This window comes from Homo sapiens, chromosome 16, assembly GCF_000001405.40.
Source record: "Homo sapiens chromosome 16, GRCh38.p14 Primary Assembly".
Classification (NCBI taxonomy): domain Eukaryota; kingdom Metazoa; phylum Chordata; class Mammalia; order Primates; family Hominidae; genus Homo; species Homo sapiens.
Window position 1 is genome coordinate 60,291,008 of NC_000016.10, and position 28,000 is coordinate 60,319,007.

Genomic DNA, 28,000 nt, shown 5'->3' on the forward strand with positions numbered 1-28,000 from the left:
AAGAGAGCCTGGAGAATGTGAATGTCTAATGGTCAAGGGTGGAGATGAAAAACTCCAAATCATTGCTCTGAATTTTTACTACGTTCTTTGTTTAGTAAGCAGTTTATTATTTCTCCTAGGAAACCATTTTATTTAATCTTTTGGAAGCAGTAGCCTACCTTTATTTGTTGCAAAAGAAACACATAGCTGTACATCTGGTATCTAGAAACAAAACTTGTTACTTGTGAAGAACCTCAAAACATCCATTCATTTGAAGTTACATCGATGGACCACTCTTTCCAATCTTAAGATACATTCAAGGCCAGGAGAGCAGAAAATCCTGAACTGTAGTGTTTCATGAAATAGAATTGGCATTCAAAAGGACATTTGAAATTCTAAAGAATTCTTTCATTAAGCGAAAAGCAGATTGGTATTTGAAAATATCTGAAAATATAATAATGATTAAATTACTTTAGTAAATGTAATGAGAAAACCTTGAGACTTTATTACCATATATTGGATTCTGCCAAGCCTTTTTCTTCCCTAGAGTGCATAAATAAAAATAAAACGAAATAAATTATGGGGAGGAAACCTCAGAAATTTTAGTGAAGTTAAATTGGCTTTGATTTTAGAAAAACGTAGGCTTGCCAGGCAAAATAAAGCAACAATCTCAGGTATTTATTCATTTTAGTATCCTCTTTCTCAGATATACCTTACTTATAAAACATAATTTTAGTTACATAGTTATAAAGAGTAATTCTAACAAAATTCCTATGTTCCATATGTGCTCAATTGTAAATATGTTACAAACATTATTATTTAGTACATATGGTGTTAAATATAAAACAGTGGCACATGTAATGCATGCATGAGTAGTAAATTTTTTTTTATTTTTTATTTTTTTAAGGACATATTTTTAATTTTATCGTTTCTAATACCACTAACCACAATCATTTTCTTTATTATTATTATTATTATTATTATTATTATACTTTAAGTTTTAGGGTACATGTGCACATTGTGCAGGTTAGTTACATATGTATACATGTGCCATGCTGGTGCACTGCACCCACTATCTTGTCATCTAGCATTAGGTATATCTCCCAATGCTATCCCTCCCCCCTCCCCCCACCCCACAACAGTCCCCAGAGTGTGATGTTCCCCTTCCTCTGTCCATGTGATCTCATTGTTCAATTCCCACCTGTGAGTGAGAATGTGCAGTGTTTGGTTTTTTGTTCTTGCGATAGTTTACTGAGAATGATGATTTACAATTTCATCCATGTCCCTACAAAGGACATGAACTCATCATTTTTTATGGCTGCATAGTATTCCATGGTGTGTATGTGCCACATTTTCTTAATCCAGTCTATCATTGTTGGACATTTGGGTTGGTTCCAAGTCTTTGCTATTGTGAATAGTGCCACGATAAACATACGTGTGCATGTGTCTTTATAGCAGCATGATTTATAGTCCTTTGAGTATATACCCAGTAATGGGATGGCTGGGTCAAATGGTATTTCTAGTTCTAGATCCCTGAGGAATCGCCACACTGACTTCCACAATGGTTGAACTAGTTTCCAGCCCCACCAACAGTGTAAAAGTGTTCCTGTTTCTCCACATCCTCTCCAGCACCTGTTGTTTCCTGACTTTTTAATGATTGCCATTCTAACTGGTGTGAGATGGTATCTCATTGTGGTTTTGATTTGCATTTCTCTGATGGCCAGTGATGGTGAGCATTTTTTCATGTGTTTTTTGGCTGCATAAATGTCTTCTTTTGGGAAGTGTCTGTTCATGTCCTTCACCCACTTTTTGATGGGGTTGTTTGTTTTTTTCTTGTAAATTTGTCTGAGTTCATTGTAGATTCTGGATATTAGCCCTTTGTCAGATGAGTAGGTTGTGAAAATTTTCTCCCATTTTGTAGGTTGCCTGTTCACTCTGACAGTAGTTTCTTTTGCTGTGCAGAAGCTCTTTAGTTTAAGTAGATCCCATTTGTCAATTTTGGCTTTTGTTGCCATTGCCTTTGGTATTTTAGACATGAAGTCCTTGCCCATGCCTATGTCCTGAATGGTAGTGCCTAGGTTTTCTCCTTAAGCTGATAAGCAACTTCAGCAAAGTCTCAGGATACAAAATCAATGTACAAAAATCACAAGCATTATTATATACCAATAACAGACAAACAGCCAAATCATGAGTGAACTCCCATTCACAATTGCTTCAAAGAGAATAAAATACCTAGGAATCCAACTTACAAGGGACGTGAAGGACCTCTTCAAGGAGAACTACAAACCACTGAGGAATGAAATAAAAGAGGATACAAAGAAATGGAAGAACATTCCATGCTCATGGGTAGGAAGATTCAATATCATGAAAATGGCCATACTGCCCAAGGTAATTTATAGATTCAATGCCATCCCCATCAAGCTACCAATGACTTTCTTCACAGAATTGGAAAAAACTACTTTAAAGTTCATATGGAACCAAAAAAGAGCCCACATCGCCAAATCAATCCTAAGCCAAAAGAACAAAGCTGGAGGCATCATGCTACCTGACTTCAAACTATACTACAAGGCTACAGTAACCAAAACAGCATGGTACTGGTACCAAAACAGAGATATAGATCAATGGAACAGAACAGAGCCCTCAGAAATAACGCCGCATATCTACAACTATCTGATCTTTGACAAACCTGAGAAAAACAAGCAATGGGGAAAGGATTCCCTATTTAATAAATGGTGCTGGGAAAACTGGCTAGCCATATGTAGAAAGCTGAAACTGGATCCCTTCCTTACACCTTATAGAAAAATTAATTCAAGATGGATTAAAGACTTAAACGTTAGACCTAAAACCATAAAAACCCTAGAGTAGTAAATTTTATGTTAACTTTAAGTGAAAATACTTTTCATAATTTTAGAACCAGAAAAAAGGCTACAGGAGGTATCTGTTCAGATGGGTAAAAGCATGAAGAATTATGTAAATGTGCAGTTTCCAAACCTTTGCAATTGAAAACAAATATAAACACATTTATGTATATGCTTATGTACACATACATGTATATATGTGTACATGCATATACGTATATGTTAGCTATAAAACTCTTGAAAAATCTCTTATGTAAAGAAGAAAATTATAAACATTTCTGATCTTAGGTATAGGTAAGCTTTTTAGATATTTGGATTATTTGGAATAACAGCCTTGACCCTTGTATGCAGTCATTTGTATACTTTTGAGAAAATTGGGATTATCTTAAACTCACAACTTAAAAATATCTTTTGTTAAATAGCAAAACATTAATATTCCCCATGTCATTATTCTTTATGTAGTACATTTATTGTTTTATTACAATTGATGATAAATTATAAATAATTATATGAGGAACATCTCATTGAGTACATTTTTAGACACTTCCATACTCCATAATTAGGTCATTAGAAGAAGTTTTGGTAATTAGCATTGATGCAAAAGTCATGCTTCTTTTACTCCTTTTATAAATCTATGGTTTTTAAGCTTTACTGTACATCAGAATCAACTGGTAGTTTTGTAAAAACACATGTTGCTGGGCCTCATCCACAGAGTTTCTGATACAGTACATCTGAAGTAGGATATGAGGATATTCATTTCTAACACACCAATGCTGCTGAGCCAAACCACTTCTCAAAGTGCTGAGCCACTTTGAGAACCACTGTGACATATATAGCCAAATGCTAAAAGCCAAATCATTTAAAAGAGTAGTCATTGTAATGTTAGCACTTGTTGATTGAGAAAATATGTGCACACATATGATTCATGGATCCATTGCAATGACACTGAGGTCCCTTGAGGCAGGTATAGGGTTCCTGTATCACAGGTCATTGATTTTCTTCAAGTTGATTTCAAAACAAAACAAGTCTTCATTTTTCAGACTTTGATATTTTGCTATTGCCTTTTGAACACCAAGTTTGTTTGCTGATGAATAAATATTTTGAGTTAGCTTATGGTGGTGCTGTGAGGCACAGTTAATTTTCAGCGTTGTTACCAATTGTGATTACTAGAGAAGTATATTTTGTATATAAAACAGAATTTGTACAAGCATGCATATATTTCATTGCATTAGGCTTTGAATAGAGAATGAGAAAACAGTGCAAGTACAAGAATAAGAAGTATAAGTATATGAAAAAAGAACTATACTGAGTCAAAAGTGGAAATAGGAATGTCGAAAGTGAATATGAATATATACCCTCTACTGGGTGTGCATTGGGCTGAAGTGATTGGCTCTGTGCAATTATGAAACAACAAAATAAGGCACATGTGCATGTTGCAAATATAACATCAAATGGTGTCAGAGATTTGGCTTTTGTTTTCATGTGTAAAGGTCTCTAAGAAGAAAACCCTAGAAGAGAGGAAATAATAGGTTTCATGAGCCAAATACCAGCCCAAATAATAAACAAGTTATTTATTATTAATGGTTGGGCCAGATCTCTTACATATTCCACCATCATTTTCCATAGTTCTCTTCTTCGAGTGAGACCTTCTCTGATGAAATGGAGACTCTAGTCTGGAAGGGTAACAGGCCTTCTAACTCCCTATTTCTTCAATTTGCAGATGCCTGCACAGGCCCCATCTGATATATCAATCTAATCATTGTGAATAAACCGGAAACTTGAGAGTGATGGCTGGGCTTGTTAAGACAGGACCAGTCATGTTAATTCACCAGTTCTTTGCCAGAAGCTTACAAATCTTTTGCTGTGCAAGTGTTCAAGAAGGGGAAGAATGAGCAAAACTTTGTCATCTCCCGTTTTATAATGCAGTAATGTTTCTCATTAGCTGTTTCAATCAGTTATAATTAGCCAATCTAATTAGTAATTCCTCATACCTAGGTGATGGACTGAGACCAGGGGAGTGCAGAGAGCCAAAAAATTAGACTGAATTATCTCATGTCTCTTTGGCCTTGGGAGAAATATTAGAATAGCGGAAATCACCACTGTCCAGTCTCCCCACCCAATGCCCCACACAAACACAAGCCCACAATTATGTCTAAAGAGGAAGGTGCAATCAGGTGCTTTATAAAATTTTAACTCTCTCGTAGTAAAGTCTATTCAGCACTTTCATAAAAAACAAAATTAAGAATGCCTGATATTCTACGTCTGTACAAATGTGCTCCTAGAAATGAAAAAATGTCAAGAGCTTTTTGAGTCAAAGTTGGGAGGAAGTAGGGGTCAAACTAGCAAAAGGAGAATATTTTGATACATCCTACACACAAATTGTACCCCAACCCTGGCTATCTAACTGGATAATCAGATCAAGAACAGAGCATGTGCATGCTTCAGGCACTGATATGCTAGGACAGTGCCTTACACAAAGAAAATATTTTTAGGTTGGCCTGAAAAGTTGTATGAAAATCCGATCTGATTTACAAACTAGGGGACGGGGCCAACATAGTTAATAGAAAAAGGTAGTTGGTTAGCTTAATACAAATTGTTCTAGGCTTAAATATGGCAACATGCTAATATCATCTCAGTACCTGGCCATAATACATTTTTAATCTCTTTTGAAAACATTTGCCAAGAGAGTATGTGCAGTGTCCTTTGTGTGCTTGAGAATCAAGAAAATAAGTGGACTGTGAGTAATAATTATGCCTCCCCCTCTCATCATGTATTGATTTAACATTTACTCAGCCTATAGCAGTATTCTCAAAGTGTGGGTCATGTACTGCCCAATGATTTTAGGTATTAAGTGAGAAGAATTTAGGTGGCACATAGATATAGCATTATAGACTTTGACTCACCTAAGAGAAAACATATTCTAGAAATAATCAATAGACATTAAAGAGACTAAAAGGGCATGTCATATTTCATAGCTGCTGTGACTTTCACATCAAATTAATACTTGCTACTCTTTCTCTGTCTCTCTCTCTGTGTGTGTATATATATATATATATATATATATACACACAGAAAGATATAAATATATATATCTCAACTAAGTTGTCTGACTACGTGTTCAGAGCCTTAGACAGGCAACAGAAACAGAAAGTCAAAATAGTACTTTTGTTCACAATGTATTTATTTTTATGATTATCTTCCTTTTATATTACTACTGCAAAAATAAAAGTGAATAGAGTGTCTATTGGCCTTAACATTTCCTTTTGAAACACATTTTTATAAGTGAAAATTGATTTTGATTACAGAAAAAGAAATAAATAATGAACAGTGCAAGTAGTTTAAAGAAACCACAAAAAAAGAGTAATGTATAAAAATTAACTTTGGGAAATTTTGTCCTATATATATTCAAATTATCTCTTAGAATAGCTAACAGGCATCTCAAAATTAAAACAGCCAAAGCAGGATTGATTCCTCATCCTTTCTACCCCACCTGTCAAGTTTTCTCAGTTCTTTCCCTTCTTAATCTTCTGAATTGCCATTCATGCTGCTCAAACTAAAAATCTAAAGTTAATCTTGAGTCTATTCTTATCTTCATCTCCACAACGAATGTTCCAGAAAGTCCTATTTAATCTACCTCCAAAGCAATCTGAAACCATCCACTTAGTTCCAGCACCACAACTGACACCTGGATCTACCTCCTAATCACCTGGTGTGGCCTGACTCCCAGTTTCCACTGTTACCTGCCAGCCTGCACAATGCATGTCCTATACAGCATCGGTGATAGCTGAGAATATAATTCAGACCCCCACTTTTCTCCGTTGACTTCTTAGTACCCAAAGAATAAAATGCAAACCATTCATGGCCTCTGAAGCCCTATTTAATCTTTCCCTACCTCTCAGACTTCATCTCTGTCCTTCCCACCAGCTTTCCCTCATCCACCATGGTTTTACCTCCTTAACATCAAGCAGTCCAAGCTTGTTTCTATCATTGAGTCTTTGCAGCTGTCTGTATTTCCTTCCTCGCAAAGTTTTATTCACTTATTTCTTCTTATCATTCAGATTTCACTTAGATTTTGCCTCTACAAAGAGGCTTTCCCTGGCCATAACATCGAAACTATTTGACAAATAATTTGCTTTTAAATTGTCCTACTTAATGGTCTGTATAACACAAATATTTTTTTCTTGGGCATTTATTTGTTTGTTATCTATTTCTTCTACTAACACAAGAACTCCAAGGAAACAGTACCCTAATCTGTCTTGTTTGCTGTGGAACAGAACCTGACACATAATAATAAGAAACACTCAGTCATGATTAGTTTTTATTATTACCATGCTGTTATTGTCATTGGGTTTTTTATTTGACCCCCTAGAATGGCCTATCTTCTAAAACACATTAGTGAATAAATGTGTTTTGGGGAAATGTATTTGTTCTCTACGTTCCTGTAACAAATCAGCATAAACTTAGTGGCTTGAAAAAACATAGATATAGTATCTCACACTTCTTCAGGTGAAAGGTCTGTTGGGTTAGGCTGATTTCTTAGCTCACAGTCTCACAAGACTGAAATCAAGGTATTGGCCAGCTTACTCTTTAACTGGGGGATCTCAGGAAGAATTTGCTTCAATGCTTATTCAAGCTCTTTGCAGAATTCAGCTCCATATGACTATAGGACTGAGGTCCCTATTTACTTGATTGGCCTGGGATTGTTAGACCATAGATGCTAGCTGTGTTCCCTTGCTCAAAGCTAACATAACTGGCCTTCTCATCTTCACATCTATCTGCCTTAATTCTCCTCTGTCTTCCTCTTCTTTTTATTTAGGACTGACTCCAGCTAGAGAAATGTATCTGTCTGTATGGGCTCAAATAATTACATTGGGCCCACCAGGGGAATCTCCCTATATTTAAAGTCCATAATTTAATTCCAACTGCAAAATCCCCTTCACTATGTAAAATAACATATTCATAGGTGTAATGGTAGGGAGTGAAGTTCATGAGTACCAAAATTCTACCTACTGCAGGAAGTTTCCATTTGAGAGGTCCATCGATCCAAACTTTATTGATAAATCCAGCTCCTGGCATTGTCAGGTAGGGACTGGACCACTTGCCTCACGGCCACAAGATGACTGATGCAACTTTAATCATCATGTCCACTTTTAAAGGCAGGAAGATATGTGGGTTGAGGAAGCTATAGAAAAAAAAAAAGCGTTTTCCTGAAGTGGATCTCTTTTCATCCCTCTATCCCATAAGACTTTTCTGTATGTTTTACAGATGAAACTGGTACACGAATATTCACAGTTGTAAAAGAGGTCAAATAAGGAAATAAATGGCATTTTCCAGTTTCTATTGTAAAAGACTAGCAAGAGAGAAGGAAATTGGTGATAGCTATTGTTCTATTTCTCTGTTTATCACAAATATACTAAGGAAGAGAAATATAAAACAGTTCTGGTTATATTTATTAAGAAAAAAAGTCAGCCAACATTTGCCAAGTTTCCCTTTCCAAGCAGAATTTATTTATTGATGGGATTCTGGGTTGTGTTACTTGCTGCTTTAATATTTCCATCTATTAAGAAGGAGAGCAATTTTTTCCATGCTCTTACAGATGAGACAAGTCCCTTGGAAACTGAGAAGGCATGGGATGATTGACTTCTGGACTGCATTCTTATTTTATTGAGATGTTAGCATGCCACTCATTGGGAAAGAGACTGCTAAATGACATTCACATTTACCAGACAGACTGTCAAGGAATATTCAGTGTCATTCCCTCTCCAGAATATAAAGAGTTTCAGGTTTGACGTTTCAAAAGAATTTGGCTCACACCATGTAAGCTCCCTGTGTGTTTTCCTGCTTGGAGTAAGCACGGTGCATCTTTAATTTCTCCTCTGAAAAATCTACACATTGCCAAAAAAGTCATTTTCAGTTTGCTCCGTTTAACTGCGTCTCTTCACCATTATTGGAATTTTTTTTTCCTGACATTACATGTTTGACCTGCTGGAACACAGTGAATAGGAAAAATCCAGTTAGAAGTCATATATGCAGGCTTAAGGCAAGGGATTTTATTTATAGACTTCAGCATTCTCAAATCCCTTAGAATTTGTAAAACATGAAGACGATGATCACATCTTTTCTGTTAGAAAAAAAGGAGCCTTCAAAATACTCTAAATTCTGAGGCTATATTTAAAAGTGATATTAATTTCTAAGACAGAGATTAAATTTGAATCTATTACTAAGAAACAAAAACAACCTATATTCTATTTCTCACTTTATACTATTTTTTCTCACTTATTTTATTTAATTCTTGCAATAACACCATGGTCTAAAAACATGATTGCTATACCTATGTTGTAGATTAGGGGTCTACGGTACTTAGTCTGCTTAAGGTCCATAAAAAATATCATAACTGGGTGGCTTAAACAACATAAATTTATTTTCTCCTAGTTCTGGAAGCTGGAAGTCTGAGATCTGGGTGCCAGCACAGTGAGTTTCTGGTGAAGACTCCTCCCTCTGGTTGCAGATGGCTGCCATCTTGCTGAGTGTTCACATGACCTCTTTATGTGAGCACTGAAAGAAGGCAAGTGAACTTTCTGGTGTCTCTTCTGACAAGGGCAGATAAGTCCATCATGCGGCCCCAACATTATGACCTTATCTAAGCCTAATAACTTCTCAAAAGCCTCATCTTCAAACACTATCACATTGAAGATTAAGGCTTGGTTTATGAATTTTCAAGGGCACAAACATTCAATCTATAATAGGAACAGACCAGCCAAGTATCTTGATTACGATCACACAGCTAATAAGAATGCAGCCAGCATTCAAACCCACAGAGTCAGACTCCAAAATCCTTATTCTTAGTAATGGATAATGTAGCCTCTTTGATGTTCTATAACCATGAGCCTTAGTAAGTGAAATAAGAAGACATGGATATAATGGATCAATGTTTGTATGGAATTATGAACTCAGAATTATCTTCATTCAACATGTCCCACCTGTTAGCTTATTCTGGGTGTTTCTATGAGGATGTTTTTGGATGACATTAATATTTAAATGCCTGGAATGAGTATCCCAGACTGCCCTCCATTGTGTGGGTGAGCCTCATCTAGTCAGTTGAAGACCTGAATAGGAAAAACCACTGATTCTCCTCTGAGTAAGAAAGAATTCTCCTACCTGATGACCTCCTATTAAGGACCTCAGCTTTTCCTGGTTCTATAACAGGCTTCCAGCTTCTGACTTGAATTGGGATATTAGCCCTGCAGATTTTGGACTTGCCAGTCTATATAATCTCATGAACCCATTTTTTAAAATAATCAATCAATAAATCCCCCTTTTCTCTTTCTAGATAGATAGATAGATGGATAGATATAGACAGATAGACAGATCGATCCCATCAATATTGTTTCTCTGGAAAACCCCAGAATAGTGTCATATTTCTTTTAGGCTGAGAGTTGTCTGAGTCCTTAGAAGTTGCACACAGATGTCTTTTTAGAAAAGACCTAGGGCAGAAATGGACAATATAAGTGATGCAATTCAGATGAATGTGTCACCAAGTTATACCTAGAGAAGCTGGTTTGCTACAGCAAAAGTTAAATTCAAATAGCTGGACTGGAGAAGCTGTGAGATGGGGCACTAGAGGCATCTGGCACATTTGCTTATAAAGAGAAGTTATGTAGAAGAGGTTAAGCAAATCACAAAAGCCCTTTCATTCTTCTGTATAAAACTGAAAAAACTAATAATTTCCTTGCCTATTTTAGTTTTATTTTCTTTTCCAAAAATTTAATTCTCAATTCTATTGAAATTTTGAGTAAAAGGTCCACTCTGGATGTCAGAATGGTTGAAATTCAGTATCATCAATGGGTGGAAAGAAAGAAAAAGCAAACAGAATATGATGTTTCTTTGTCTTTAATGACAGAATTTTTATGCAATGCATGATTTATTAAAGGAATTTGAGCTCGTTAAATCAGGACAAGAGAGAATGAAAATTCATATCCTGTTTATAATGAAGCTTTGAAAATGATGCCAATTCATCAAACAGTCACTTGATGAATATTTATTAAGAAGCTACTATACTCCAGGAATGCTACTATGTCGGATACATTAGTGAATTAAATAAATATACTTCCTACCCTCGTGCAGTTTGCCATCTAATGTGGGGTACAAATAACCTACCATGTGAACAGTCTGCTGGGAGACAAGAGGGTTAAGGAAAATTCTCCCGTAAAAATATCATAAGACCTTTGTTCTTAATGAATATAGGGTTTTAATAAGATTCACTTATGTGCAAAATGTCAAGTGCCAGACACATTCTCTTTTAGCTTAGATCATGGGAATATAAAGTCAACAGACACAATAGTTTAAAAAAAGGAAGGAGGAAAGGAAGAAAACAGCCTTGAATCTTAATACCCACAGTCAATTCTCACTGGAAATTAGAATCTCTTTCCAAAAATTAATCTATCTTATGATGATTTACACAAAAAGAGGGTTTAGTGATCTCACCTCTTACCAGTACCTCCTCTAGTGCTTCATGATAAAGGGAGGTTAGTCACTGCCTCTTCTGCTTCTATACTTGCTGACTTAACTAATTACTTCTCTGTGTAACTCTTATTATGAGAGAATGATTGGGCTGCAAATCACCCTTTTGAGCAAGGCTTTTATGCCAAGTCCCTTATAGGCTTCTGTGCAATTTGTCAGGAGACATTGTGTGTTGTGGCAACAGTCGGTGATGGTGTCTAATGCAATAGCCTGCAGCTACTTCAGAAGGAACAACAGTCAAAAAAATGATAGAGCTCTACACTGCGGAGACAAGATGTGTAAACACATTCTTTTATTCCTTCTTTCAGTCCACCAAAAATAAAACAAAGAAAATCAAAGGAAAAATGAGCATCTGGTTCTGTTCCAAGAATTAGAGAAAGCAAAACTTTCTTTCTTTATTTCAGGTTTTTTCTTCTCCAAAAATCTGATTCTCAATGCCATTGACTTAGGAAAATACAGCTCATTACATCATGGAGCTTCTTTTCTGTCTAGCAGGAGAAATTGACGTTGAAACACAATTTCACTAATAAATATGCACCTGGGAATTCACTGGAAGCATCTTTGCTTCTTACGTCTGGTTACAATCAATCTCAGCTCATGCAGCTCCACAGCTGTATGAGTTCCTGTATTTTCCCCAAATTTTTATGAGTTCTTGGGGTTTGCTGCCTTATTTTTCCCTCTACCTTTGTACTTCTAGGTTCTCTTATCTGATTTGCTTCCCTACTCTAATAGAAATAACATAAAAGTCAGTTGTTTCATTGATTTCTACCAAAAAATTCATTAAAATCACCATAGCCATCTTGAGGTTGATTTTATTGATGATATTAGGAGTCATGAGGAGAAGTGAGATCTTACCGGCCATGACCTTAGGCAAACTTGCTCAATCTATAATAATTTTCTTTCTCTTATCCACTATTGGTTATTCCTCCATAATAGTATTCTGATTCCATTCAAAGTAGCAGTGCACTCTCTTTCTTCTTCTTTATATATTTTTTCAAGATGGAGTCTCGCTCTGTCGCCAGGCTGGGGTACAGTGGCACTATCTCAGCTCACTGCAGCGTCCGCCTCCTGGGTTCAAGCAATTCTCCTGCCTCAGCCTCCCGAGTAGCTAGGACTACAGACACGCACCACCACACCAGGCTAATTTTTATATTTTTAGTAGAGACGGGATTTCACCATGTTGGCCAGGATGGTCTTGATCTCTCGACCTCATGATCCGCCCGCCTCGGCATCCCGAAGTGCTGGGATTACAGACGTGAGCCCGGCCTACATGCTATTTCTTAACTTCTCTTTAAAATGTTTGTGGTAGGCAATTTCAAACTACACTTTTGAGTAGCTTTCTGCCCTCCAGTGTGGGCTGGAGTTATGAAGTCACTTATAATGAATAGGACATGGCAGAAATGATAAGCCATCTCTTCTGAGATTAGGATATTTTAAAAATGTTGCTTCCTGGCTGAGCGTGGTCGCTCATGCCTGTAATCCCAGCACTTTGGGAAGCTGAGGCGGGTGGATCACGAGGTCAGGAGATCGAAACCATCCTGGCTAACACGGGGAAACCCTGTCTATACTAAAAATACAAAAATTTAGCTGGGTGTGGTGGCGGGCGCCTGTAGTCCCAGCTACTAGGGAGGCTGAGGCAGGAGAATGATGAGAATCTGGGAGGCGGAGCTCGCAGTGAGCAGAGATGGTGCGCCACTGCACTCCAGCCTGGGCTACAGTGCGAGACTCCGTCTCAAAAAAAAAAAAAAAAAAAAGTTGCTTCCCTGTTGGGTATTTTCTCACATTCTTTGGATTGCTTGATCTGGGGAAGTCCTGTGGAGAGGACCATGTGAGTGAGGTTGGAAGTGGATATTCTCAGCCTTGCCAACATCACATGCATAAGCATAGATGTGAGTCCTCCGAGAGTTGAGCCTTGAGATGCTGGCAGCCCCAGACAACACTTGGACGGCTGCTTTGTAAAAGATCCTGGGCCATACCCACCAGCCAAGCCACTCTCAGATTCCTAACCCACAGAAATTGTGTAATAGTAAATGTTTATTGTTTTAAGCTATTAATTTTGGGGGATAATTTGTTATGCAGCAGTAGATAATGAATACAATGTTCAATCCAGACAACTAGATATTGTTTGAACACATTTAAGAGTAGGCATTAAGTATTGTTCAATATATTGAAGGCAGAAAGGAGAATTGAAAATTGTTTGCTCCCTCAAAGAGAATTCAATCTATTGGGTGTAAATTAGGACTTAGATAAACGGAAAGTAAAAAGAAGAAATTTAACCAAGGGAATACACCACCCTTTTTTAACTCATGTCTTTTTTTAGACTTTTTTATTCCAAAACCTATTAGTTTTATTAATGTGCTTAGCCCAAATAGTGAGTTTTATAGGAAAACCTAAAGACATTCTCTCTGTGTATCGTCAGGTAAGCAGATATCTAAATTCAGCACAACTGTAGTAAATAACTGGGACTACAATATCTTAATTTTTCCTGCTGGAATCAAGCTTATATTTGACAATGTTGTTTTGTGCCAAACATAAGAGGCTTAGCCAGCAAAAGAAAATCTCTTGAGACAGCAGTGTGTTGCAAGCCTTAACTCCGTATTATGAGGTGTTCCTTGGTTTCTTTGTTTTATTGTCTATTGTTAAATGTGTTAGATTTGAAATTACACTGTGTCACCAAGGAGCCCCCAGGCCTGGACACAACCTTGCTAACAGGCTGAACTCTGGAGCCTTATTTTTCATGATCTCCTGAGACTCTATGCTCAGACATATGAAAGCTCTTGCATATTTCCAGTGTTCCAAGACCATTCCTAACTTCCAGGCCTTAGTATATTCTGTTCCATCTGTCTGAGATGCTCTTCTCCATTTACATGGATGATATCTACTCATTCTTTAGCATTTAGGTAACACTACTTCCAGAATGCCATTCACAAGTGAATTCAGAGAACTCAACAGTTCCCTTCCCCCATAGAACCTTTTACCTGATATTAAATTATTTGCTTATATATCAGGACCAGAGGTTGCACATCAGAAAGCCCAAAAGTTATGCAGGCTATATCCAGCTCCCAAATATTTTTTTGTAACACAAACAAACAAACAAAACCCCCAAACCAAAACAAAACCAAACACCTGATATTGAATATTTTAAGAGCTTTGGCTCACAAATTCTCCTAATCCACCACTGTTTCTTATTATCCTGTAGATGGCTGGCATCCCAGTTTGTATTACTTGCCCACCTCTGCTTGATTTATATTTGAGACTTGTGACCTTTTGGAGAGAGAAACATTTTTGGTTTACTTTCATGTCCACAACATCTGTCACAGTTCTTGGCACGTTGTATGAACTCAGTAAGCAAATGAATAAATGAATGAATGAGTGAGTGAGCAGTTTATTAATTAGTAAACATTTATGCTTTAAACTCTGTGTAATTAGAGCAATGTCTTCTTTCTACCGTTGATCTCTTCAAACCGTTTGCCAGATTTGTTCTCCATAGGGAGCCATTGATCAACATTCTGATGAATGAATGGATTTTAAGTAAATCCTAGCAAGCCAATCCCACTCAGTACCTTATATATTATTTTATCTCTCCACTCATATTCCCTTTTTAAAAATTTCTCTTTATTTTGTCCTTGCAAATGAGATGTTTTGTGAGCTACTCCTCTTAAATGACTTTATTACATGTTTTCCCCTCTATTTAGAGAGAAAAACATGTTATATTCAAAACTCTTATTTACACCAACATTGCCATCAATAACCATTGTTTATTTTTTTAAAACTACCTACTATATCAGGCAGAGCTATTTTCTGGCAAGCGACAATAACTGGATCCAAAAAAAAAATTAACCATGAGGAATTGGTTGACTCACCTGACCTAAAAAGTAGCTAGTTTTAGTGATGACTCCAGGAAAAGTACAAACCTTCTAACACTTGTTTCCTCATGTCACTGCATATCAGGTTCTTCTTCAGACCAGCATTCTCACAATATAGAAGTCCTGAATACAACTGCTTAAAACTCAGTGTTCTTTCCTTTCTGCTTATACTATTCAAAGCTCAAATTTAAAATAATAATTACAAGAAGAAGCATCAAGAAAGGGCTGCTGATTGGGTCCAGTGATAAACAAGTGCTCTAGGTTGGGCCAATCATGCTGATCAGGAGATTAAAATGGTCTCATTCGTGAGTCTAGAAAGCTTTAGATTGATTGGCAAGTTCTGTAGAATCCCATGAATTGAAAAGAAAGATGTGTGTGTGGGTATGAGCCCTTCTGCACACAAAAAAATCAATAAATATCCATTATGACTACCTCTGTACCAGGAAATGTGGAAGACGTAATGTGGTCTATGCCATAGGGAAATTCACAATCGAGTTGTGACAGGTCATATAATTATAAGTAAATTGTTATTAATAAAAGTTAAATTGGGCCGGGCACGGTGGCTTATGCCTGTAATCCCAGCACTTTGAGAGGCCGAGATGGGTGGATGACGAGGTCAGGAGTTTGAGACCAGTCTGACCAACATGGTGATGACCAACATGGTGAAACGCTGTCTCTACTAAAAATACAAAAATTAGCCAGGCATGGTGGTTTGCGCCTGTAATCCCAGCTACTTAAGAGGCTGAGGCAGGAGAATCGCTTCAACCCAGGAGGCAGAGGTTGCAGTGAGCCGAGATTACACCATTGCACTCCAGCCTGGGTGACAGAGTGAGACTCCGTCTCAAAAAAAAAAGTGTTTATTAGAGTCTTAGGCTTTAGGTGAGTATAACTCACTGTTATTTTCCTGTTCTGTGTCTAGCAAATTAGCAAATATATAAAAATCTGGGAGGAAAATGGGCTATGTGTATATGTGTGTGTGTGTGTGTGTGTGTGTGTGTGTGTGTGTGTGTGATATCTATATCATCTATATCTACATCTATATCCATATCTCTGTATCTATCTATATATCACTTCTCTATCAGTTAATCAAAGTAAGGTCTCTAAAAGTGGAATTGGAGCCTAGAGATAAAAGGTTAGAAATGGGATCATCTTAGAGATAATAGAACCCAAACTGGTTATTTCATGTCTGAGGAAGGAAGCCCATAAAATTTCACCTCCAGAGAGTCAAGTATGTCATTTTATTATTAGGGGAAGTATTTTTTAAGAAAGTTTTTAAGCTTTTATTACAAACAGTTCTCCTTGTAGATTCTCTTAAAGGCTTCAATGACACCAGTCTCCTAATTTATACAAAACCCAGGTTTATGTGTACTGAGAGCAATAAAAAAAGAGCTTATACAATTTCACTTATGAAAACTTGGCACTCAAGAGTAATCCTGAACTTCTCTTCTTCCCTCACCCTTCATTCAAGACTTCACCAAATCCTGTACATGAGTGATTCTGAAGAATGCAAAGAAGAGTTCCTCACAACAAATAATTGTTTACCTCAAAATGTCAATAGTTCAAAGGATGAGGCACCCCTTTGCAGAATTTACCTCAGAAGAATATGTCCAAATATGTCCAGTACTCTTTGACTCCATTGCTACCTCATCTCTCCCTTGAACCATGTCCATCACCTCCTAGTTGGTTTCACTAACTCCTGTCTAGTACCCTGAAGCTCATTCTTTATAAAGCAGCCAAAATGAACTTTCCAGTCTATAATGCTGTGGTTAAAATATTGCTAAAACTTGTCCAGTGGCTTACCAACACACAGAGGGAAAGGTGAAGAAATAAGCAAATCACACAAAATCACGTCAATTGTGGTAAGGAGTTTGGCTATTATTCTCAGATTCATTCTCTTTCCCTGGCTCTTTGTCTTTGCATCACCTTTCTGTTTTAAGAATATTCCAAACTTATTCTTGTTTATGACTTTGGTACCTTTCAATCCTTCTGTCTGAAGTACCCTTTCCCTAGATATGTGCTTCATTAACTTCTTCTTGTTATTCATTTATCCAAGAGACTTTCCTTGTCTACTTTGAAATGGGCCCCTCTTCACACTCTCTCGTTGCCAATTCACCATCCATTCATAATATTTCCATATTTTAAATGTATCTTACTTTTCATCTTCATAGGCAGTATCATCTAAAATATGATGATTTCAGATCATGGTAAGATTTATATTTCCATTCCCACGCTTTAGAAAAAAAGCCCCTGTGGTGGCAGAATAATGGCCTCCAAAGATGTCCACGAGCTGGACCTGTGAATAGATTGGGATTCATGGTGTTTTAGTTCAGGTTGCAATAACAAATTTCCATAAATTGGGTGGCTTATAAACAACAGAAATTTGTTTCTCACAGTTCTGAAGGGTGAAAGTCTGATATCAGGGTATCAGCATGGTCAGGTTCTGCAGATTGCCTACTTCTCATTATGTCTTCACATGGCTGAAAGGGAGAACTATCTGGGGTCATTTCATAAAAGCATGAAGCTTCTTGAGGTCTCCACCTTTATGACCTAATTACCTCCCAAAGCCTCCACCTCCCCATATCATCATATTGGGGGTAGAGAAGATAGAATTTTAATGTATGAATTATGGAGGGACACAAACATTCTGTTACCAACCAATGGGTTCACCTTGCCTGCTGCCTAGACAGAACCAATTTATCAAGACAGGGGAATTGCAATAGAGAAAGAGTAATTCACGCAAAACCAACTGCGCAGGAGACTGAAGTTTTATTATTACTCAGATCAGTCTCCGTGAGCATTCAGGGATCAGAGTTTTTAAGGACAACTTGGTGGGTGGGGGAACCAGTGGCCTGACCAATCAGAGATGAAATCACAGGGAGTCAAAGCTGTCTTCTAATGCTGAGTCAGTTCCAGGTGGAGGCCACAATATCTGATGAGCCAGTTTATTGATCTGGGTGGTGCCAGCTGAGCCATCAAGTGCAGGGTCTGCAAAACATCTCAAGCACTGATCTTAGGAGCAGTTCAAGGAGGGTCAGAATCTTGTAGCCTCCAACTGCATGACTCCTAAATCACAATTTTAATCTTGTGGCTAATTTGTTAGTCCTACAAAGGCAATTTAGTCCCCAAGCAAGAAGGAGGTTTGTTTTGGGAAAGGGCTGTTATTATTTTTGTTTTCAACTATAAACTAAATTCCTCCCAAAGTTACTTCAGCCTATGCCCAGGAATGAACAAGGACAGCTTGGAGGTGAGATGCAAGGAAGAGTTGGTTAGGTTAGATCTCTTTCACTGTCAGTTACAATTTTGCAATGACGATTTCTTTTTTCTCTTTCTTTTCTTTTCTTTCTTTCTTTCTTTTTTTTTTTTTTTTTTTTTTTTTTGAGATGGAGTCTTGCTCCATCACCCAGGCTGGAGTGCAGTGGCATGATCTTGACTCATTGCAACCTCCCCCTCCCAGGTTCAAGCGATTCTCCTGTCTCAGCCCCTCGAGTAGCTGGTACTGCAGGTGCCTGCCACCATGCCTGGCTAATTTTTGTATTTTTAGTAGAGACGGGGTTTCACTTTTTTGGTCAGGCTGGTCTCAAACTTCTGACCTCAGGTGATCCACCTGCCTCAGCCTCCCAAAGTGCTGGGATTACAGGCGTGAGCCACTGCGCCCGGACTACAATGGCAATTTCAGTTTCATTCATTGAACATGACAAGGAAGAATTGAGGTTATACATCTCATTGAGATTGATAATCAGTTGAATTTGAGATGAGGAGATGATCCTGTGTTATCCAGATGGCACAATGTAATCACAAGGGTCTTTATAAATGGGAGAGGGAGGCAGAAGTTAGTGTCAGTGATGTGATGGAGCAAAATTCGACTGGGCATTGGTGACTTTAAAGATAGAAGGGTGGGCCTCAAACTAAGTAACACAGAAAGCCTCTAGAATCTGGAAAAAGAAAAGAAATGCATTCTCTCCTACAGCCTCTAGAAGGAACATAGCATTGCAGATGCCTTGATTTTATCCCAGTGAGATGCATTCTAAACTTCTGACCTCCAGAGCTGTAAGATAATAAATAAATTTGTGTTGTATTAAGCAAAGATTCAATAGTATACATTTAATACATTTTACAAAAGTACATTTTAAGAAAGGCATGGCTTCAAGTTATTTTCTTTTCTTTGATGAGAGACATGATTAAATAAATATTAAATATTCAACTAAAAGCAAAAAACAAAGATTATGAGGAAGAAAACAAAAAATTGCAAATACAAAAACAAGTGCAAATACTTTGAAATATATAGATAAGTGACATTGATAAAAGTATCTAGTAGCTGATTCTTTGGAAAAAAATAATTATACCTGGATATTTTAGTTTGTAAAATTAAGATAAACAACTTAGAAATAAGAAAATGAATAAAACCATTGATGGAATTGAGATTTAAATGATAAAACAATGAAATTATTTTCATTCTTGAAGTGATTGTATTTACTTCTTTCATTGCTTTTCATCAGTGTTGGATTTATATCAGTGTAATACCTTGTTTGGGGACATAGAAAAACAAAATTACTAGAGCAGATCTTAGGGCAAATTTATCCTTGAAAGGTATCATTTAAGCACCTCTCTCCTCTCCAGTGACCTACAGCTCACAATTTAAAATACATTCCTAATCTCAAAGCATAAAAAAAAAGAAAAAAAGGAAAAAATTTACAGTAACAGCACATAGGCATGCTTTCAAACAGAGGATAAAGCTTCTGTACTGAAAATTCTACAACTAAAGACAGCTTAAGAAGACTTCTTAAGTCTTGGGCAAATTGTCCTTGGCAGAGTGACAAATCCCAACAGCACATAACTTCTTAGAGTTACCCCTTAATGTTTGAACTATATTATAAACCAAGAAAATAATGACAAGACTGCAAGTCAACATAAACAAGACAAAAAAGAGGATCTAATCCACTAGCAAAGGAATTGTTCTCTGATAATAAGGAATGACTGGAAGCACTGGTTCCCTTATTGGCTCATCTGTCTAAACAGCTGTAAAGCTTATGGTTTTATTTATTCTTTTGAATGCTACTAGCTTTGAAACTCCATTGAGTAGTTTAACATACCCATTGTCTTTCTAAATTGTCACATCTTACTCCATGTGGCAGAGGGATCACCACAATGATTTGATTTCAGATTGCTGACGGTGAGTGCTTTTCTAGGCAGAAAGGGCTGAATGCTCTGTGTTTGATTGAATTATATGGCCAACCAAATCATTAGAATACAGAAGAGAAAGTCCCTAAATTGGTAGAAGATATACCCTAGGAAGATTCCTCATAACTTGTAATTAACTTAATGCCACGTATTTAGCACAATTGATGATGCCAAAAGCTGTGTGATTTGCTAGATATTAACTTGTTAAGCAATTGATTTACTCATGAAAAAGTCAGTACTGTTTTATTTCTATTTAAAACAGAAACAGATTGTTTCTACTTCTTTCCACCTGTATGCATTATATTTCATTTCTAGATACCAGTGTTTCTCCATATCCCAAGAATCTTTCAATGAGATGCTACTTCAGGGCTGCTATACAAGCAAGTCCTATTTTAGTTCTTGAAAGAGCATGTCATGTCTGGAAGTAACAGATTACAGTGGCATGTTTCAACCACATTGTTTAGGAGTTCTACAATTTATTATTGTTGATATGAGGCTTAATTACACACTAAGAAAACATAGCCAGGCCCAAAATTTCTTTAATTAAACAATATTAATACATTACATATATATATATAGAGAGAGAGAGAGAGAGCGAGACAGAGACAGAGAGAGAAAGATCAAGAGAGAGAGAATATCTTCAATGTGCAGGAGGACTTTTACCCAGGGTGCTGATAATTTTATGTTTGTTAAAATCCATGGGAAAGAAAGAATATGTGAACTTCATTCACCATTGACTTGGTACTAATTAAGTGTTGAGAACTTCTGGGTCAAAGAGCAAAAAAGAGGTGATGTGTTATAAGTGGGAGAGAAAGTCCTCCTTTGAGGGTGGGGTGTTTAATGAATATTTCAACATAGCCATGGAAAACACACTTGGACAGGCAGTTAGAAATTAAAAGATTGATTATACTCACAGGTCCTACAGACAGGTGGCAGGGCATGTGACACAAGGGGCCATATGGGAGGAGCTTCAGGGGAGCAGTTTCAACCATGCAGGAGGGGAGTCAAGAAAGAGAGTGAGGACTAGTGGGCAAGTGCCTTTACTGGGGAGTACACAAGTGAAAGGTATGAGGGAGTTTTATGAATGCAATTCAATGTCACTAGGCCACAGTCAGACTGAGGCAAGAGGAACTTGTGGCTGGGACTAGCCTTTTCTCACTAGACCATCTGGTTGTCTGGGCAGGGTGCTCACAGCCTGTTTGTGAGGCTATTGATTGAGGCATCAGGAAAATATAGAGTTGTAAAAATTTATAATACAGATGCTATCTTTGCAAAGCTGAGTCAAAAACCCTAAATATAAATCAAATTTTCTTGAAAGATATTTTATTTTCTAAAATTGCTAATTATTTTATCTGCCTCTTTAAGAAAACTAACAGATTTAAGGCTGATTGGATCATTGTTCTTGAGCACCAATATCATAAAAATAGACTTTTTTCCCCACTTCATTTTGCTATTTTCTTCTGTATTTACAGTCATATGGACATTTTTCTAAGAATCACAGTGTATAGAATAGTATTGAAAGAAAGACATCCTTGATATTTAGAAACTGTGTAACCTTATGCAAGGAAAAAATCCTCAACAAGACTTATATATCTTTATTCATCCTCAAGTATCATCAGATCTACTTTAAAGAGGTGTAATGAGGACTCAGTGAGCTAATACTCAGAAAAGGATTAGCAAAATGATAGGCACATGAAAATAAATATAAAAATATTGAGATCTCGCTGTTACTAAAAAAGGACCACAATCCTAGTCTAAAACCCTTGGGGTCAAATGTTTCAGAAATTAGAATCTTTTTGCAGATTTTAGAAAGATAATAATGAGCATATATTCTGTATTATATAGGACTGATATATTAACAATTCAATAATTTTTGAATATAAAGACAGATTTTTAAAATACTACAATTGACTTACACCCTTTCAGGTCAGGTTCTGAGACAAAATGAGTTTAGGTCAGGTCAGATTTTGCATTAATAAGTTACAAAAATGTATTATTGAAAGATTTGGGATTTCAGAATGGAAGTTTATCATATACATTATAGGAGGCAGCAAATTTTATTTTATTTCTTTTTATTTTAATTTTTTTTTTGAGACGGAGTCTTGCCCTGTCACCCAGGCTGGAGTGCAGTGGCGCGATCTCAGCGCACTGTAGCTTCCACCTCCCGTGTTCAAAAGATTCTTGTGCCTCAGCCTCCCGAGTAGCTGGGATTACAGGCGTGTGCCACCATGCCCAGCTAATTTTTGTATTTTTAGTAGAAACAGGGTTTTGCCATGTTGGCCAGGCTGGTCTTGAACTCTTGATCTCAAGTTATCCACGGCCTCTCAAATTGCTGGGATTACAGGTGTGAGTCACTGTACCTGGCCAGAGGCAGGACATTTTAAATGCCTAGCAAACATCTGGCTATACATTGGGTTGAGTGCATGTTAAAACCTCATTCCTTCTTCATATTTCCTCCTTCCTCCTCTTAAAATTTGTCCCATTCCTCACTTCCCCAGTGCTGTGGGCTCCAATCTCTGAGAAACCCTGCAGGAAAGCTCTATGTTTCAGCATGAGTTCACACAGGGTGCTGAACTTCAAAACAGTTTTTACTCTTGGAGTTTCTTGCCATTTCTTGTACAGTGTCATCTTTCAGCCATCATTTCCTACTTCCCCCTTTCTGTGAATTTTCTACTTCCTTTGACATGTTGTTGTTAACACTAGTGATGTTAGCTCCTATCTGGTGATTTTCTCAATGAGCTGAGTTGAACTTACTGGGAATATTCCCCAGCAAAAAGTTTTTTCAAATACTTCCATCCTGTTTGTTCTGATTTAATAATGATTGCAGCATCAGGTGAAGGTTTTGGTGCAAATAACACATACAACACACACACAAATGTGTATATACAGAAATCTATACCTATACCCATATATTTCTGTATGCCATAATGAATAATACATACAAACACATACATGCATACATACATACATACATACGTAATTTTCCCCTTAGGGATATAGACTCATGACAAGACTGAGATGTGTCTTCCTGACCTATATTCACTGGAAAATTATGCATATCTTAAGGGATGGGTCTGTGATTAAGCTGCACGGGAGGCAGGAGAAGAGCTACTTCCCATGTCTTTAAAATCTCCTTCCTTGAAGGGCAACTCATTAAAAACAAAACAAAACAAAACCCCAAAAACAACTCAGTGGAGATTTAAAACAGTTTAGGCATCACAGTAGATTCTATTCTGGGTCACTTTGCATACCCAAATTGTTTTTTTGAGACTATTAACAATGTCATGCTGAGCAATTTGATACACATTCAGTGGTAAAGCCTGTTACTTTTGTTTTACTGGTTTGAAAAATCATCCTCATATATATCCACCCATGGTTATAAGCCTACTTTCTTAACTAGGTAATCTTAAAGAATAACTTCTGCATGTATGATGGGGATTTTTTATTCTGGGTGACAGAACCTATTTTGCAGTTTCTATTCACACCCAAATTGTTCTTGAGGAACAATTCAGGCATTATTTGTGTGGGCCTCCCACACTCAGAATAGGTTAATAGCCAATGTCACCTTCACTGGGCTATTCTTTGGATAAAGACCATTAAGGGAAATAGCTATTTCAGTGAGTGGCATATTAAAGTTCTAGCCTAGAGCTCTGTCTGCCTCTGGTTCCAATATTTGTGAGCGTGGCTTAGTGAAGAAGCTACAGTCATACTTTCTCCAGGATGTAAATACCGGGGAATTTAGCCATAAAGCTGGAGCATGAGAAAGATCAGGGCTTGGAGTAAACCAAAAGAGGCTGAAAGAGAATGCTCACTTCTCACTACTCCATCACTTTCTTCTCTAAGTACCACAAAACCTCCCAATTTTCTGCGTGTTGTCCCGCCCTCATATCAAGCATCCTTTCGTTCTTTTCATTAGCTCTCCAGTCACCCTTATTCATGAGTTTATTAGTTCAGGCCTGGAATCTTGCCTCTGAACTGATTTCCAGCCCCCATGTACCATTTCTTAATATCTATGCCCATAAAATGTTATTTTAGAGTTAAGTGCTAGGCAAAGCTTTGTTTCTCCCTAAGGATTTGTATGTTTACTGCATGTAGATTATAAGAATGATAAAACCAATTATCTTTCTCTTTTAATTTTGGCTGCCTGGAAGCTCAGAGCCAAATGTTTGGGTTAATCAAGAGTCTAAAGACTTACTCTAACTACTTTTTTGGCGTTGTCTTTATTTCTCAGTCCAGGTCTAGAGTTCACATTATAATGCTTTGCTTGCCTTTCTTGGCCTAGATATCTTATTTTAACTCACTTGCCCTGTTCCCATTTTGACTTTGGCTGAATGGAACTGAATTAATCATAATCTTGTGTTCATATTGTATTTACATTTTATTTTAAAACATTTTTTCTAATTGCAGTTAATCTTATAATACAATAAATTCTTTGTGGAATGAGGCGAGGTATAAATAAATAGCTAGTAAGTGGTGCCTTTGCAGCAGGAAGGAAAATGAAGATAAGAGCAGGACTAGGAGGAATAAGATCTAATTACTCTGCATGACAAACTGGGATGAGGATGAGGTGACATTTGCTGAGCACAAGGAAAGGAAAGAGATGTGGGGGTTGGGTAAGATAGAAAATAAATCACAGTGACCATGGATAAATTATCTGTGTGGGAAATACTCATCGATTTGTAGGAACAGTGAAATGTTATATTAAATATGAGGGTTTTCTGCCCTAAAAAGAAATTTCCCTTTGCTACAGCAAATGTTTACTAAATTCTGCTACAATAGCCTGGAATTAATGGCACATGGAAGAAAAGATGACTTCCACTGTGTAACTTGACAGATAATTGAGATAGGATGGCAAGACTACGAAAGTTGGGATTGTTAAAAAATAATAAAGCAAATGGTAACGGTGACTCACAAGGAAATAGTGAGTCTTCCAGTATATGAGACAGGGCTTGAGTTACTTCTCTCTTCCTTCTTGCCATTCTTTCCTTTTCCTTTGCCCTTTCTTTGCGTCCTCCTTTTTTTTTTCATTCCTATTTTTCTCCCTTCTCTCTTTCCTTCATTTTCTTTCTTTATTATCTTCCTTCCTCCCTTCCTTCTCAGAGAGTGTTTGACTGACTTCTATGTGTCAGAGATTCTGCTAGGCATTTAGATCCCTAGGAGTAAAAAAGAAATGCACGGCTTCTCACATCCTGAAGCTTATATCTTAGTATTAGGTTGGCGCAAAAGTTATTGCCATTAAAAGAAATGGCAAAAACCGCAATTGTTTTTGCACCAACCTGACAGATAACATATAAAAAAAATTAAATAAAAAATAATGATTAGAATTTTTTATTAATAATATAATAAAATACTATAATAAAAAATTCAAGAGGAGAGAAAGAGAGAGAGGGGATGAAAGTTATTTTTGTTGGAGAACTTAGTTCTTAAACCATAGGACTTGATAATTGAAGTAAAGGAAGGATCCTCAAAAGGCTAGAGGAATTCAGGACATTAAATCTCATTTAAGTATTTATTCTCATTAATGGTGTTACAACTGGGTGTAGGAAGGAAAGCAAATGAGTTCATTGTTGTACATTTTCTACTTGGGCTTTGGTTCCCTTATATTCTGAATTAGCTACTGAAAAGTCGATGCCTTTATGTAAAAGTAAATCAAGTAGGTTCTCAAAATATTTTAAATATAAATCTATTTGAATTTTCATCAAGAAACTAAGAATCTCCATATCACAGTCTCCTTCAACCATGCTTTCATTCAATGTATGAATCTTGAGTGTTTTAATTTTAATTTTATTATTTTAATTTTTTCTATGAAGTTTTAAGAAAATTTATTTACAGAAAATATTTTAATTGTTCCAAATTAAGTTTTTGAGCTTCAAAATTAGAAAACATTCCATTAACCCTGTCATGAGAAAGATAAGTTTTAATGATAATTTCTGATTGTTTTGTGCATTAGCCTACGAGTAGCGCCTATCAGTCTAGTGACCCTCCTGACCAAGACAGTCACTTTTACTATCACCAGAGAGAAAAACAAGGGAAAGGCTAGAATCTAAGGTTTATTTTTAGACTATGAATGAGAGCATTACCAGTTAGTACTATGTTTTAAAAACTGATGAAATAATAATTAGTAATAGCTTCCATTTTTCTACATTCAGGTATTTTGCAGACATTTACTTCATTTAATTCTTAAAAAGCCTTACAAAATAAGGATTATTGGCTCTCATTATATTAATTAAAGAAACCGAGTCTTAGAAGAATTGAGTAAGAATTTCACAGCTAAATTGTGTCAATTAGGGAGAGGCCAATTTGTGAATCTATGGCTCCAAAATTTATTCTCTTAACTACTATGCTACAGAATTGCTGTCTAGCCAAAGATATCAACAGACTAACAAACAAATAGATAAGACTCTCACAGGAGCTCCTGGAAGGTAGGTATTCAGAAAGTACTGAGGAAAGTAATAGGAAAAACTGACTATATCATAGTAATCTAATGGAAAATGGGCTGGGCATGGTGCTCATGCCTGTAACACTAGCACTTTGGGAGGCCAAGACAGGAGGATTGCTTGTGGCCAGGAGTTCGAGATTAGCCTGGGCAACGCAGCAAGACCTCATCTCTTAAAAAATAATAATAAATAAAAAATCATTAGCCAAGTATGGTGGCTTATGTCTGTAGTTCCAGCTACTTAGGAGGCTGAGGAGGGAGGATCACTTGAGCCCAGGAGTTTGAGCTTGAGCTTGCAGTGAGCTATGATTGAGCCACTGCACTGCAGCCTGGGTGACAGAGCATGACCTCCAACTCTAAAAACAAACAAACACAAAGAATAGAAAACAGAAAGTTAGATGTGTATAAAAGTCTCTGAAGATATACTTGGCATTTAGTTCAAGTTGTCATAATTTCAATCCTCATGGCACCTCCTTGAAAGTCGTTGTTATCTTGCTTTGCAGATTAGGAAATTAAATTTAGAGAAGTTAAGTGATGTGACACTTACTGGCTGAGTGAATGGTCTTCACAGAGCCTGGGTCTGTATTCTCTTCTTTAAGATGGAGAAGAAATAACTCCTTATAGAATTATTATGTCTAATGTGAGCATTAGAGGTAATTCAGATGAAATGTTTTTAGAGTAACTAGTGAATAGAAGTCATCTACTAATAATCACAATTTTTATTTATTATTATCATGAGTATCACCTGAAACTATTGCATTTTTCTCTATGTCATGCCATGGCCTTTTACAATGTGGCCCTTGTTTCTTGCCAACAGTGAGTCATCGCCCATGGCCAAATAGAACCTCTTTTTAGAGAACAGGAAACACAGCTGATATATTTGAACAATATTAGAGGACAATCTTTAGATAGATGAGAAAAATGTTAAATAGTTTAGGAAATTAAGGGACATCTGACATGTCTGTCTCAGATCCTGACCTGCAGGAAGCCTACTTGATAATGGCCCCAGTTGCTGTGTTCTAGGATCCATCAAAGTGGCGCTTCCCACAGCCTGCTCCAAGCCTGTGTCTGAGCTGGGCAAACTTGCCACTGAGAGGCACAGGACTCCTCTGATCAGCAGCCTTGGCTCCAGGACTCAGCATTGCATCTGACAGAACTTTCCT